Genomic DNA, 16,487 nt, shown 5'->3' on the forward strand with positions numbered 1-16,487 from the left:
CTCCCTCACCCCCTACCTAATGCATTTGGTATAAAACACCACATCATTAATGTGGTCTGTATGGTTGTCTGTTTCCTGCCTGGCTTCTGCCCACATTTCCAGCCTCATCCTCTGCCACTCTGCCTCCCAGTATCACTCTTTTCCTCCAAAAGTAACTCCTACTCATCCTTTAGATTTCAGCTTAAATGTCACTTCCTCAGAGATGATTATTGATCTTCCAAACTAAATTAAGTTCTTCAGTTATAGTCCTTTATATTGAATGTATGCCTTTCTTCTTTGGGATGATCAGTTTCTCCCAAACTGTGGCTAAAGAAGTGAAGTAACTTCCACAAGGCCAAAGAGTGAGATCTATTAGAACTGGAATTCTCTCTGTTAGAGGAAAAAAAAAAATCCAAAAAAGAGAAAAGAAGAAAAATGGAAAGAACTGGAATTACAACCCAGGGGCGGGGTGAACTCTAAAGCTGTGTCCTTTCTGTGATCTTTGCTGCCTTGAGGGCAGGAAACAGGGTATGAATCAATGTTCTAAGTTTCAAAACATGGCCTGACTGCTGCTCGTTTATTTCCCATTTCAAGTTGTCCTTAAATGAGCTGGGTGCAGTGGCTCATGCCTGTAATTCAATACTTTGGGAGGCCGAGGCAGGTGGATCACTTGAGCACAGGAGTTGGAGAACAACCTGTTCAACATGGCGAGACCCCATCTCTACAAATAAAATTAGCCGGGTGTGCTGGCACATGCCTGTAGTGCCAGCTACTCGGGGTAGGAGTGGGGGCCTGAGGTGGGAGGATCGCTTAGGCCCAGGAGGTTGAGGCTGCAGTGAGCTTTCGTGCCACTGCACTCCATCCTGGGCGACAAAGTGAGATCCTGTCTCAAAAAAAAAAAAAAAGTTATCCTGAAGTATTATTCTTTCTGAGCCTTCATGCTCCCTCAATAGATTGTAACCTGTTAAAATAGTACCTGTTTTCTGATATATTATCAACCTAGCATTTACATAAATTATCTTACATACAGTAGGTACTCATTAAATAGTTTTTCTCTTAGGGATGTTAAAGAAAAACAGTATTTTTTTTCCATTTAATCTTTTCAAGGTCTGAAGCTGTCTCATGGAGGAATTGAGTACCTTATTCTTTCTACCAGTCAATGACAGAGTACAATTTATGTTTTTATATTTTGAATAGAACTGCTTTAAATGTTTTTAAAGCTAATAGTTTGCATCTTAATGGATCATTACCCTTGTTTCATTGGGAAAAGAAGGAATTAACCTTACATATTTTTGATTTCCTTCAGGAATTGAGTGATCTACAGCGCGATCCACCTGCTCACTGTTCAGCTGGACCTGTGGGAGATGACTGTAAGCCTTGCTCTATTTCTGGGATTATGCTACCTTTAAAAATATAGGTTTGAACATTTGTTAATGACTCCAAAACTCCTTTGTTTGTTTCAGTGTTCCACTGGCAAGCCACTATTATGGGGCCTGTAAGTATGATTCATATCTATGAAATTAACCCCCTCAGCCATACTTCATTCTTGCCATTTCACCTTTGATCAGATGTTTGTGATGAAGGTTGAATATTCTTGTACTTTGAATCACCTAGGAAGCAAAATATTATTAAGGATTTACAATGATTTTCCAAAGCATTGGTGGCAAATATTTCCTGGGATCACTATTATGTTTTCCTTTGCTGAATCCTAGATCATTACACATAATGGAGTGCCACAGCTCGCAACCAGGCTGTGTGTTTATCTTTTTTTTTTTTTTTTTTAAGTCACAGAGAGTTAGTTGTAATTAACCATAATCATTCTCACATCCACAGTTTTGGTAGGTTAGAAATTAGTCTAATGAAGCCAATAATTGAATTCCTACAAGTAACAAGTGTCAGTTTGCCATAAGTTTCATCACTGTTCTTTTTTGTGAAAGAGAATCAATAAAATATTACAATGGGTCTGTCTTTACCTCCTTATAAATTTGCTGCTTTTAATTTTGTTGCATTGTCCTAAACACAAAATTATCTGCTGTTTGATAATTGGCTACTCTCAATACTTATTACTTTTGTTAAAATTATTTCTTTCAATACTTTAGAGGCAGTTACAAGACTTGAAACAGGCTTTTTCTTTCTATGAGCAAAAAATCTGATTGCATAAGAATGAGCACTGACAGCTCAAATCTACTTTCTGGGTGAGAGTACATAAGTAACATGTTTCCATGAACACCATTCTCTTCTCCCTGCCCTGAAAGAGCTTTATCTAGTGAGTTACAGAGTTTTTAATCATACGACCTTGTGTTTAACTTTAAAAAACACCAAAACTACTGAATTTCAAAGCAGTACTCTGGGCAGTTGTCTCAAATTATTGTTTTATTAAGTTTGTTTTTCTAAAAAGGCAAAATACAATGTATTTATATAACAACTTTCAATAAGAATCCATTTATTTCTGTTTGTTTTTAATTAGTTACTAAGAACCTTCAAAATACTCTCATTTAAAGGCCCACCCTTACCTTTTGAATTATGGCCTTTCACAAATATTTTTTAGGTGAATCACATGTAACAAATGGTTATAATCATGTTATTCATAACTCCCTTACTTTAGTAATGTAAATATTTACAGTACTCTGGACCATATCTGTCATTGTAATTTATCTTCATTTTCTATATTTCTTACAATTTTTGATAAACTAGAATTGTTTAAACAATATATATAGTAAGAATTATTATACAGGAAAATCCTCTAGCATATATGTGGAAACTTAACGAGAAAGTAATGAGTCTTGGTGTTATTACCAGAATGCTAATATAACATGATATATTTAATTAAATATGAAAGAATTAAAATAGAATTGTAGGTATAGTTTGCTAGCATTTTCTTTTTTTAAAATTTTTTTGCTTGTAATGTTATATTTTCTAATGGCTATAAAGAAACATGGTCAAATTTAAATTTCTCTAGTAAAGTTGATTCCCAATTTGATAGTAGCATGAATATATAATTTTGTTTTGGATTTTTTTGGGTTCTCTACATTATTTTATAAATAATTACTAAACGAAGATTTGGCACATAAATTGTGTAGCAGGGTCCTTAGCATTTTCTTTTCACGACAGCCTCTTCAGTTCATCTCCATTCTTGGTCATCAAGTGAACATCAGAACTTAAGTTTTACTATCCTCAACCCTTTTTCAAAAAAAATACTGATTACGGCTGCAGAAAATGATCTTTTCCCACAGCAGTCGTGTGTATACTGATCTTTAACAATTTGTACTCATAACCAGATTTGTTTGGACAAGTCACAGCACTGTGTGTGTCCTGTTTTTGTTTTGTTTTAAATTTTATGATGTCGGCATAGTTGTTGGAAAATCCTCCTTCGTACCTGCAGAGAAACCTGTTCTCAAAGTAAATGATTTGAACTTATGACAAAATGGTTGCATTTTTTTCATATTGGTAATATTTAATGAAATTATTTTAAACATGATGGCATTTTTTTCAAACTGATAATATTTGGGGGAAATAATTTTGTTGTTATAAATAAATATAGTAATCAAATGCTGATGCAAATCTTTTGTAATTTCAGCCTGATAGCGCATATCAAGGTGGAGTCTTCTTTCTCACTGTACATTTTCCGACAGATTATCCTTTTAAACCACCAAAGGTATTTTTATTTTTATGATTGATGTGACTCCCATGTAAGAGATTTTATTCTTTATCTAGAGCTCATTTGATTATCTAGAGCTCATTTGATATGTCAAAGACTGTGGGGAGGTTAGCATTTTCAAACTGTTTTGTAAAAACTACTGAATCTAAAATCTGATTTCTTATTGAAATACTGTATTAAGTCTATAAAACAAAAGTCAGTACGTGTCATGCTATAAATTAAATTCCTTGCTTTTCTTTTCCTTCTTATTGGATATGTGTAGTTTGGGACGTTTTTATGATTAAGAGTCAGACTTTTCTATTCATGGGATTATCCTTACAAAGTTGATCATTCTTTCTCTGTTTTTTTTTTTTAAGTATTCAATAAACATTCACCGAGTACCTACTGTGTTCTTCTACACTGGGGAATCCGAAAGTAAATATGAAGCAGTCCCTTAATTTAGTATGGTAGGAGAGAGAAACACATGTTAGATTTAGATTTGCTCTAAAGAGGAAACAAATGATGGGGATATCAGGGAGGGGAAAAGTGGGCAGATTTTGTCACTCAGGATATAATTATTTTAAATAGTTAAAAACAGATTAACATTGTATTTATGAAATGGTATGACAACTCTTGTGGAAAATTAGGATTCTTAATGGATTTCTTAGCTGAGACGCCTCAACTTTGCCCTGAAACAGCGTCAGCACCCTGGTTTTAGATCCAAATGTTACTTCCAGGTATCACCAATAATCAAATTAAGAAAAGGATTACTTCTACATATGATGGAAGCCATGGTTAATTACTTTAGATGCTGCTCAACCAGTCATACCGGCTACTAGAGACTTATTTATTACACTGTCCAAAATACTCTTCAGTTCCTTTGAGGGCAAAAGAAGGAAGCTGACTTGTTTGTGTTCACATTCTCACTAGCTAGAACTGTGTGTAGCACAAAGTAGATAATTATTTGATTTGTGTTGATGACTTTTCTCCTCTAAAGTTATGTAAAGTTGAGGATATTTTACCCTAGAGCAAATTGGTTCTGTTTTATTCATAGTTGATTCAAAGGTGATTGTCATATTTTGTTGTTTTGTTTTATGTTTAGATTGCTTTCACAACAAAAATTTACCATCCAAACATAAACAGTAATGGAAGTATTTGTCTCGATATTCTGAGGTCACAATGGTCACCAGCTCTGACTGTATCAAAAGGTAATTTCATTGATCAGGTTTGAAACAGTTGATAACAGTGAGACAGGAAAAATACAGCAGAATTACCTATGGACTAAAGTTTTAAAACAACAATCAACTGTGCTTTCTCCTGTTTTGATTTTGTTTTGCTCTCTTTGCTCTTATGTTACTATGGCTTTTGGCAGTTAGCTTTGGTTGAGGGGAGTGTGGATGGACAAATCTAAATGATGAAATGAGAAAAAACCTTAAAATATCAGAGCTAGAAATTTGGGGATAAACCTATTGATATTTTATCCTTTTAGCTTGGGTGTTGTCTTTTAAAAAAGAGAGAGTGCCCGGGCACTGTGGCTCATGCCTGTTATTCTAACACTTTGGAAGGCTGAAGTGGAGGATTGCTTGAGCCCGAGTTCGAGACCGGCCTGGGCAACATAGGAGACCCCATCTCTGCAAAAGAAGAGAGAGAATAAGAGATAGTAAAAGGAAGATTTTGGGACTGGTTGTCCCATTCATTAAATGGAAATGTTGACAATAATAAAGCTTTACAGCTGTTTTACTTCATCCAAGAATAAAATACCAGATTTGATTGATAAATGATTTAAGATGAAAGACATTTCACACTGTAGGATAATGCAGTACATATAGCATGTTAGTCTAAACTTCGAATAATCAGTAGCATCATTATAGTGACTGACACAAGATCTGTGCTGATTCTCAACTTTTACAGGGGTATAGCTGTTCTTTGCTGGATTATCAGGTGTATACATAGGCATCTCAAGCCATTTTATTTCATTAGCCACTGCTACTTACTGTGCTAGCACTCTTAATTTATGTCTTGTTTCTCTGAAAGAAGAGAACCTGACAGTTGGAAAATACTGTTTAGGTTAGAAGTAGCTGCACTGAAGCAACCATCAAGTTTTCCGTTTTTATAAAATTGAAGAAAATGTTTCTCTTGAAGGGATTTATGGAAGCAATCTGTACTCATTTTTTATTTTTAATAATTGCTACTTGAATATACAGCATGTTTTTAAAAGTAATAAGGTTTATAGGAAGCAGGGTCCACAGCCGTAGCTCTTTCAAATATTAGATAAATAATAGCTCTTTCAGTTCAATTATTTATGAACGATAGTTTTTCTGACCTAAGATGCTCATCTACAGTATTCATATAGATTCTCATATTCTTTTAAGAATCTTTCACACAGTGTAACTGTCATGCATTAGATATATGAAAGATTCTGTGTTGAAGGGTTAATTCAAGTTCATACGCTGTTTCCTGGAATGGTGTCACAAAATGGATCTCACTTGGCATATAAACTGCCAAGTCCTTATACATATAAAAGAAATGGCAAACTGCCAGATATTGAGTACTTATATTCTGACATTGGTAGCCTTTTATAAAGAATCAGTAGTGTTAGATTCTGGAAACCATCCTGTGAGAAATGAAACAGCCTCAGTTTCCTTATAAGTAAAATGGGGATTCTTATAGTGTTACCATACAGGGTTGCTATGTACCTAGCACATAGTGGGCACTTACATGAATGTTAACTGTTACCCTTTTCCTTACCTTAAAGGATAGACATGGTTTGTGTGCATGATAGTGAAACTGGGGCAAATGGCTCCTGGCAGTAGGGGTGAGCAGAGGAGGAACTTCCTTCTTGCTTACTTTTTTATAAGATAGATCATACCTTGCTCATTTGTTTGTATATTTTTTACTTTGCTATATTTTTTTAAATTTTTAATTTGTTTATCTTAAAAGATTGTTTTTTAATTAAATATAGACAGAGTCTTGCTGTGTTGCCCAGGCTGGTCTCAAACTCCTGGCCTCAAGTGATCCTCCTGCCTTGGTCTCCCAAAGTGCTGGGATTATAGGTGTGAGCAACCTTGCCCAGCTTATTATTTTTATTTTTTTATTTTTTGAGATGCAGTTGCTGTGTTGCCCAGGCTGGTCTCGAACTCCTAAGCTCAAGGATTCTTCCACCTCAGCCTCCCAAGTAGCTGGCATTATAGGCACATACCACCATTGCCTGGAGCTTTTCCATATTTTAAATGTCTTCTTTTGCTTTTTATCATGAGGTTAGTCTGGAAGCATTCTGGGGCTGTAAGTTAGCCCTGAAAATCTGCCCTGTTGGTTTAATATACAAGGCTTTTAAGTTTCATTGGGCAGATAGAAGATAAGAAAGATGAATAAAATACTAATTTTTTCTTTAGTTCATAACACCCCCCCACCCTTTGCCTGTCATTGTAAGAGTCAACTCTGCTCTATAAATCCACCTTTGGACTTGAAAGAGTACGAAAATAGAAAGGAAACGCAGTGGGGTGGGTGCAAGTGGAAATGGGAGGTTGGTCCAGAGGTTCCATGAACCTCCTCAGAAGTGGTGGCATGCAATTGAAGCAGACAAATGAGGAACCAGAGTCCTTGTTCCCTCTTATTTCAGATACTTAGATCGTTAGTGTGTGTGTGTGTGTGTGTTAGTGTAGCTATTTGCATTAGAATTTTGACATACTGGAGTAACAACTACTTTTTCAATTTTCATTTCTTTTTTAAAATATGCAAGCTATATAAAGATAGCTGTTCACATTATTTTTAAATGCATGCAATACAAATAAACTACATTAAGTAAAGATTCATTGAAAAAAATTTTACAAATTTTTCTTCTTTGTAGACAGACTATAGCTCTAAGCCAAAGCAAAAGAGTGTATGAGCACAGTATCCAAAATGGTTTGGACTGTTAACTGTAATTTGATTGTTCTGTAGAGAACTCTCAAGTTTAAAGGTTGTTAATAGCTACTTTGGAGGGTCACATTTTTTTAAATAAATGGGAACTCGGAATTTAAAACTTCAAAAGCTAAAATAATTTTATATTTTATGCATCCTATGGTAATTTTATAACTTTAAAAATTAAAGATCAATTTGCTATCAACCAAAGTAGAATAAAATATAATTTGATGTGTTCATTTTATGTTTTTTTTATAAGTACAGTATCTATATTCACTAAAATTATTTTCACATATGTAATTTGTATGAAGTAGAAGGGTTATTGTCTAATGTGATGTTCTCTTTTAAATCTAGTTTTATTGTCCATATGTTCTCTACTTTGTGATCCTAATCCAGATGACCCCTTAGTACCAGATATTGCACAAATCTATAAATCAGACAAAGAAAAGTAAGTGTTTACTTATTTTAGTTTCTGTATGGATACATTCCTATATAGTATGCCAAAACACGAATATTATCAATATGTTTTAAGTCAATTTGATTATGGTTGTTATATGTATATTGTTTATCTTTTTCCAATGGAGTAAACCTTTCTTTGAGAACTCTGTTAGACCTTTTATGATAAATCTTGTTCCTTCCCACTTACTGTTCAATAGTATATACTCTGTATTTGAAAAATAGATGTATATATTCTAGGTGATAAATTAAAAATGAAAGAATTTAATCATTGGAAAGTATTAAATATATATTGCTTATCTTCTCCAAGGAAGAGGAGTTCTCTCGTACCCATCCAAACTGACCTAATTCTCAAGCTGCTTCATCTTGCTAGTACTGTAGGTTCATTTGCAATTTGTAGATAATGCTCCTTCAGGATTGGCTTTTGTAAATTTCTGTTAGAAGCTGGTTTCTGCATTTTGATTTTTGTGTATTTGGATACATTTTCATATAGGTTGCAGAGAAATCCATGAGTTAAAAAATTATTTTTCCTGTTTTATTTCTGCATGAACCTAAGTCACATTGACCCAGTAATTGATATATGTGTGATTATTGCAATTAAGTATAAGAAGGTAGAATATATAGTTTTATTAGACAGATGCTTCTGAAATATTAATTTTGTATGTTTTTACTATATCCTTTTTGTGTATCTACAGATACAACAGACATGCAAGAGAATGGACTCAGAAATATGCAATGTAAAAATCAAAAACATTTTCATATATACCAGAGTACTGTAAAATCTAGGTTTTTTTCAACATTAGCAGTAAATTGAGCACTGTTTACTGTTTCATTGTACCATGAAACCATTTGATTTTTACCCATTTTAAATGTGTTTCTGAAGCAAGACAAAACAAACTTCCAAAAATACCCTTAAGACTGTGATGAGAGCATTTATCATTTTGTATGCATTGAGAAAGACATTTATTATGGTTTTTAAGATACTTGGACATCTGCATCTTCAGCTTACAAGATCTACAATGCAGCTGAAAAGCAACCAAATTATTTTTTGCTGAAACTAGATGTTTTTACATGAGAAATACTGTATGTGTTGTCTAAGATGTCAGTTTTATAAATCTGTATTCAGATTTCATTCTTTGTTAGCTCACTTTATAATTTGTATTTTTTTACTGTATAGACTAAATATATTCTATTTACATGTATGTCAACTCATTACTTTTTTCCTGTGAACAGTATTGAAAAACCCCAACGGCTGATAATTAAGTGAATTAACTGTGTCTCCCTTGTCTTAGGATATTCTGTAGATTGATTGCAGATTTCTTAAATCTGAAATGATCTTTACACTGTAATTCTCAGCATACTGATTATGGAGAAACACTTGTTTTGATTTTGTTATACTTGACTTAACTTTATTGCAATGTGAATTAATTGCACTGCTAAGTAGGAAGATGTGTAACTTTTATTTGTTGCTATTCACATTTGAATTTTTTCCTGTATAGGCAATATTATATTGACACCTTTTACAGATCTTACTGTAGCTTTTTCCATATAAATAAAATGCTTTTTCTACTATTTGTCTTGATTACTTAAAAAAATAAAAATATAAGTAAGGATCAAAACTCTAAAATTTTGCATGAAAATTACATCCAAATTGTGAAAATCAGATCTATTTTGTTTGCCATTAGTCACCATTAGTTATATAAATTTTATTGTTTTAGGTTAGTATCTCTTTACTAAATTGTCAGTCTATAAGATAATATATGTTGATCCCTTGCTGTAGAGGAGAATTTAGAGTAATTTGGGGTTTGTCTTGGATTATATCTAAATGGATTATTTGTTAAAAGTACTGAAATGAGTATAAGGCAGTATCACCCATCCAAAAGAAAGGTCTTTATAGACCTGCACAGTCACTAGATTAATTCATTAAAATGCCCCCACCCTGATGTAATTGACATTACATTTCTTAACATTTTAAAATCTAGAATTTCTAAAATGGAATTTAATGCCATCACAATTTGAAAAACTTTTTTTTTTTTTTTACTATAGAAGTTACAAAGGAAGTTCTAAAATTATGCCTCCCTCTGTTTTTATAAGTTGCCATCGAAAAGTGATTTAAATAAGCAGGTTATCTTTATAGATTTTAAAGAAAACTAGAAAGTTTTAATGTTTTAACTTGGGGAAAAATACATCTCTTTAATGTTTAGCATGCTTGTCAACCTTGAGTGAGTGTCATTTTTAAGAACAGTTGTAGCCCTTCTGATTATTGCAGTAGCTGTAGAAGTATGTAAGAATATGTGATGGGTGTAGTCATTAGCAAAGCATTTAAATCACTTGAGTATTTTGTCATGGTTCATTATTATTAAAGCACAAAATAACCTATTGTTAGAAAATATGTGTTTTTATAAATGAATGTAAAATAATTAAATGAATTGTGAAATGGATGTTTAAGAAAATATAGGCTTAAAAAGTAAATCTATAAAATGATGTCTTAAAACAGCCATATCATGAAAAATTCTACTTAGCTATATTATTATAAGCTACATTTGCCCTGAATTTGAACACTCAACATCACTAGATTTAAATATTTAGTATATTTTGATAGTAAAGGGTTTTGTTTCTTGAATATCTTCACTTTAAACAAAAAAAAAAAACAACTTTCATTTGTGTGGCATTTATTTTTGGAAGTGTCTTCTTTTTTTTCTTTATTAAAGTTTTTGAAACTTGCCTAACTTGTTTGCCTTTGCTTACATCTGGATTGTACTGGACTTGAGGAGTAAGCAGAAGTTCTCATAATTAGCTAAAAACCTTGAGTTCCATAGTGGCGTCATGATCGGTCAGAACACCATTTTGGGTATATTATTTTTGCTTAACTCTAACAAGGAGAACATCAGTTACCTTTTAAAACTGTAGAATAAAAGTCAGGGCCTTTTGTGGATTAAGCATTAATTTAAGGACTTCCTTGGAGTGAGAGAAATAGGTAGTCTTTTGGGGATTTAGGATCCCACTTCTTGAAGTTGCATAGTTGAAAACCATGTTCAAATTGGATTCTGAACGCTTATAACTGCCATATACAGCAGTTACCCACATCAGTGACATGGGTTGTAAGGGGCAGCCTCACCACCATCCTCCAACTATCTCAAAAGCGTACAATTCCTGAAGTACAAGCTTTACATATATGCCTCCGTCAACCTTATTTATTAATTTTTGCATTATTTCCCTGTTTCACCCCTTTTAAACGCTGATAGGGAAAATTAAAAATTATAAATGAACTGCATATCAAGGACAACTCTAAGAGTTAACGTTCAAAAGTTACTTTTCATAAGAAAAAAATAATACATTGCAGTTTTAAATTTTTCTTATTTATCACAGTGATCTATCTAATGATTCAGTCATTGATGTTTGTCAAGATCCTGCTCTCCCACAGTTCTGTATTTTTTAAATGGAGAGATTAAGGAAATTAATTTTCCTCCCAAATTAAAAGAAATTATTGGTCATGAAACTATATCATGTCTGTTTATTGGTAGTCATTTTGAACTGTACAAAAGCCCAGCCCAGTTGATAATGCTTTAAAATTTGAGCTCTGCAGTAGAATCATCAGTCCTGTTACTCTATCTTCTTAGGACCAGCCATGAAAAATGTGATCAGTGCTTTAGCCATGGCCATAAAAACAGAGCTTCATTGTATTCAGATTGTTGAAAGTACTGTTTATCTTTGTTTGTTTCAGTCTTTTAAGTGATTATTACTACAATAAAAAATCTGATTTTTAAAAAATTAGTTTTATCACTTTTCAGCTGTAAAGTAGGATTTTCACAATTTTTTTTTCTTTAAAGCAGAGGCTTAATCACAATTTAATAGCTGTAAAATGTAATGCAGATTATTTATGAAAGGTCTTATAATGCTTCTCTTTTATTCTGATGGTTGTGTTGCACAAATAGGGCAGCAGGTAGAGTCTCATCTAATTTCACTTACAAAAGTTCTTATAGGTAGATAACTAGTCATTTCTACTCTCTCTGTTTTTGAACTGAGTAATGTGTCTGTAAGCTCTTCTTAAACTGTGTAATTAATATGTTTTCCCTAGTTTTTTTCAGTAGTGGTGATAACTGAAAATTTGTAGACGGCTGATAGTGTCCTGGTGACAGCCTAATAGATGTTATATCCTTATTTGTATTTTGTTACATTTACAATTCTGCTCCCATTATCCTGTTATATAAGAATGTGGCTTTAAATTGTAAATGAACTGAACTAATAGGAAGAGAGAAAATTCACCTGAGAGTATTAGTATTGGGGGGCATTTTATGTAATAAGAAACATTTCTCTAAAAACTTGGTTAGCACTCTCTTAGGTCCTACTGTTGTCGAGGGAGAGATGTGCCTTTCTTCTCTCAGAGGAGGTTGCTTTTATTATACTGGCATATGCTGAAGGTCTGAACTCTGCTTTCCTCATATAATTTACTTGGCAGGAAAAACTGTTAAGATCTCTTGAGTGCAAAAGATCACCATGAATTGCATATGAAATATTTCAGTATAAACTCTTAATATACATATTGTGGGAACAGTTGTGATACCACTTGTGTTAGCACTTTTGGTACACTTGTTTTGGCAGTCCCACACATTCAACGTGTGGATAGAAGAATGCACAGGACCCAACATACCATCATACTCAACAGTTAAGATTTATTACAGCCACCTGGCAAGGATACACAGTGGGGGCAGTAAGGGGGAAAGACAGACCAGGCAGTCTGGAGGAATCCACGTGCAGGCTCCCTGTGCTCTCCCTGAAGGGGCCACAAGAGTGAAGCCTTCCTCTAGTAGTAGCATGGGCATAGTGTTTCTGCCCTAGGATGCTAGTGTGAAACGCAAAGTCCAGGGTTTTTATTGGGGGCTAATCACATAAGCATCCTTTGTTTTCCAAAATTCTAGTCTTCTAGAAGGAAAGCAGGTGTTCACCATAAATCACATTGTTTATTTAAGAAGTCTAGTCAGGCTAGCACAGCAAGCACATCTTATCACTCAGGGATGGTTTCAGAAGCCAGGTTTCTAGATGTCAGCCAAGGGCAAACCTTGTAAACAGGCCATTCTAAAGATCAGGCCTGTATAATTTGTTAAAAAAACTATTCTTTCCCTTTGAATGGCCTTAGTACCCTTGTTGGAAACCAACTGACCATAGAGGTTTATTTCTGGTCTCTCAGTTCCATTCCATCAATCAATATGCCTTATCCCAGTATGACACTGTTTTGCTTACTGTAACTTTGTAGTAGCTTTTGAAATGGGGAAGTGTGTGCCCTCCAACTCTGTTCTTTCACAGTACTGTTTTGACTATTCAGGCCCCTTGTAATTCCGTATGTATTTTAGGGTAAGATTTGCCATTTGTCCTGAGATTTAATTGGGATTTATTGAATCTGTAGAGCAATTTTGGTAAAGTTGACATTTTTTGTTCTGGTTATCTACTGCTGAACAACAAACCACCCCAAGCTAAGTAGTGTCAAAGAACAACCATTTCTTTATGCGCATGGATTCTGTTGGGTCAAGAATTGGGCTGAGGCACGGGAGGGATAGCTTGTCTACTCCCCTGTACTTAGGTTCTTGGCTCAGGATGACTCAGATGGCTTGAGGCTGGAAGCATTTGGAGGTTTCTCCACTCATACGTTGGCACCAGGACAGGTATTATATTCTAGGTCACTTATTAATGGCCTTTCTATGTGGTTTGATCTTTGCACAAGATGGCTGCCCACTTCCAAGAGGGAGCAGTTGGAGATAAGTGTTCCAAGAGAATGAGGAGTAAGCTGCCTTTTTAAGTGATCTAGCTTTTGAAGTCAGAGATTGTGTAGTTCATTGGATGAAACAGTCACAAGCTCACTCAAATTCAAGGAAAGTGGACATAGACCCTTACTTTTCCTTGGGAAACAATTTGGGGTCACTAATATGTCTTACTGACTAGTCTTTCCAATGTACATGAATCACTCAATGTACTTAGGTGGTCTTTAATTTCTAATTGTCATTGTTTTATAGGGTAATTGTTTTAATTGTTTTGTAATTCTCTGTGTAGAGGTCTTGCACGTTTTTCACTGGATTCATTCCTATGTATCAAGTTTTTAAAACCTATTATAAAATTATTTTTCATTTCATTTCATATTTATATATTATTTATAGAAAAGCAATTTATATTCATCTTATATCCTGCAACCTTGCTAAATTTACTTTTTAAAAGTTTGTACAATTCTAAAGTTTTAGTTTTCTATACTTACTTATAATCATGTCAGCTGCAGATAGAGATGATTTTATTCAAATCTTTATGCCACATTTCTTTTTTTTGCCCTTTGTTGCATTAGCCTGAGCTCCAATATCATGCTGAATAGAAATAGTAATAGCAAACATCCTTTCTTGATTTCCAAGGGAAAGCTCTTACATGTCAGTATTAACAATGGTGTTCCTTTCATATCAAGGAAGTTTTCTATTCCTAGTTCTTAAAGCATTTTTATTACTATTGAGTTACAAGTTGAATTTAATGCTTTTTCTTCATTTATCAAGATTATTGTGATTTTTATCCTTTTCTTTGATTAATGTAGTGTGATGAACTACACTAACTGATGTTCACCTGTTAAATTATCCTTACATTTCTGGATAGAAACCCACTTTGAGATGTATTTATCTTCCTTACAAACCACTAGATTCTATCTGCAAATTTTTTTGAGGATTTTTGCAACTGTGTTCATGGGACGAGTTGGTCCATAATTTCCTTTATTGAATATTGTTGTCAATTTCATACCTCAGGTTATGCTGGGCTCATAAAAACAGTGAAGAAACATTTCCTTTGTTCTCTGGAAGAGTTTGTAGAAGATTTGTGCTATTTTTTCCTTAAATACTTTGAAGAATATTCTGAAGGCATCATGTCTAGAGTTTTTTTGTTGTGGTGGTGGTTATGGGAAGATTTTAATAATAAATTATATCTTATATATGGACTAGATATATTTTTATTACTCAGTTTTGTGTTTTTCAAGGAATTTCTGCATTTTATCTAAATCGTTGATCTATTTGGCATAGAGTTGTTCATGATATCCTCGTCTTTTTGAAGGTAATATGTATCTGCAGTCATACATATCTCCTCACAATTTTTTTCCTTGGTGAGTCTTGCTAGAAGACTATCAACTTTATTAATCTTTCAGAGAATCAGTATTTTATTTTTTAAAATTTCTTTTGTACATTTGTTTTCTGTTTCATTGATTTATATTATTTATGTTTTCTTTAGTTTTTGATTTTGATTCATTTTTTGTAGCTTCTTGAGGTTGAAACATAATTTTTAAAAACCTTCCTTCTTTTCTAATATATGTATTTAAAACTATATGTTTACCCCTAAGTACCACTTTAGCTACATCCTACAAGTTTCGAAATATCGTATCTACATTGTCATTCAGTTAAAAATATTTTCTAATTCTTGTTTGGATTTTTTTATTCACTTATGAGTTATATATAAGGATACATTGTTTTATTTCCAGGCAATTGGGCTTTTTTTTTTTAAGTTAAATTTTTGCTATTGATTTCTAGCTTAATTTCTCCATGGCCAGAAAACATAATATGAATAGTTTCAATTCTTTGAAATTTGCTGAAGCTTGCTTCATGGCCCAGCATATGGAAATTATGATAAATGTATCATATACATTTGAAAATAATATGGATTGTTATTATTAGATTCAGTGTTTATATGTGCTAATTAGATCAAGTTTGTTAATTGTGTTTATAATTTTTATTTGCTTGTTCTCACAGCCATTAAGGGAGATACGTTAAAAAGTTTCCCATTATGATTGTGAAATTGTCTGTTTTATTTTTGCCTTATATATTTTGAAATCATATTCTTGGATACTCTCTCTTACACACACACATAAAATTGTGATATCACATTAAGAAATGTCTCTATCTGTATTAATGCTTTTGCCTTAAACTCCACTTTATCTAATATTAGTATGGTTTCTTTTGGCTAGTATTTGCAGTGTATATCTTTTTCTATTCTTTAATTTTTGATCTTTCTGTGTCCCTTTTTAAATGTGTGTCTCCAGTACTCATTTCAAAGTTGGGTTCTATTTAATTTGGTTTTTATCTAATCTGACCATGTTAGTATTTCAATTAGAGAATTTCATTCTTTTGCATTTAAAGGAATTACTGATATAGTTGGGTTTATACCAACTGTGTTCCCATTTTTGTTTTTTTTTCTTCTTAACCATGTTTTATTTTTTTCACCTTTCTTTTTTCCTTCTTTTGGGTTTTTCAGTTTTTATAACAGTATCATTTTCTTTCCCTCTGATAACTTGTTAGACATTCTTTGTGCATGTGATTACTCTAAATTAAAAGATCTATCTCTGATTATAGTTTAATATGAATTATTGCTTGTACCATTTTTCCCTATAATGTGAAAACTTTAGACCACCTGGATTCCATTGTCTCTTTCCCACCTTTGCTGTATTATTATTGTCATGTATTTTAATTTGACATATATGTGAAATTCCACAAGACACTGATGTTTT

General features: G+C 33.2%; 1 protein-coding gene across 2 annotated transcripts in view; it reads left to right on the top strand.

Moving 5' to 3' along the window:
* UBE2D1 (ubiquitin conjugating enzyme E2 D1) overlaps positions 1–10,696 on the top strand; it is a 35,743-nt gene extending 25,047 nt beyond the window's left edge. Inside the window, exons 2-7 of one of the 2 annotated variants that reach the window (NM_003338.5) lie at positions 1,286–1,349; positions 1,443–1,474; positions 3,557–3,634; positions 4,719–4,824; positions 7,871–7,964; positions 8,668–10,696. In NM_003338.5, the coding sequence (NP_003329.1) occupies positions 1,286–1,349; positions 1,443–1,474; positions 3,557–3,634; positions 4,719–4,824; positions 7,871–7,964; positions 8,668–8,713 (420 nt within the window). In that variant the 3' untranslated portion in view covers positions 8,714–10,696. The remainder of the gene's footprint in view (positions 1–1,285; positions 1,350–1,442; positions 1,475–3,556; positions 3,635–4,718; positions 4,825–7,870; positions 7,965–8,667) is intronic. The other variant, NM_001204880.2, reaches the window with a different exon arrangement.
* The last annotated feature ends 5,791 nt before the right edge of the window (positions 10,697–16,487 follow it).

This window comes from Homo sapiens, chromosome 10 (genome assembly GCF_000001405.40).
Source record: "Homo sapiens chromosome 10, GRCh38.p14 Primary Assembly".
NCBI lineage: Eukaryota > Metazoa > Chordata > Mammalia > Primates > Hominidae > Homo > Homo sapiens.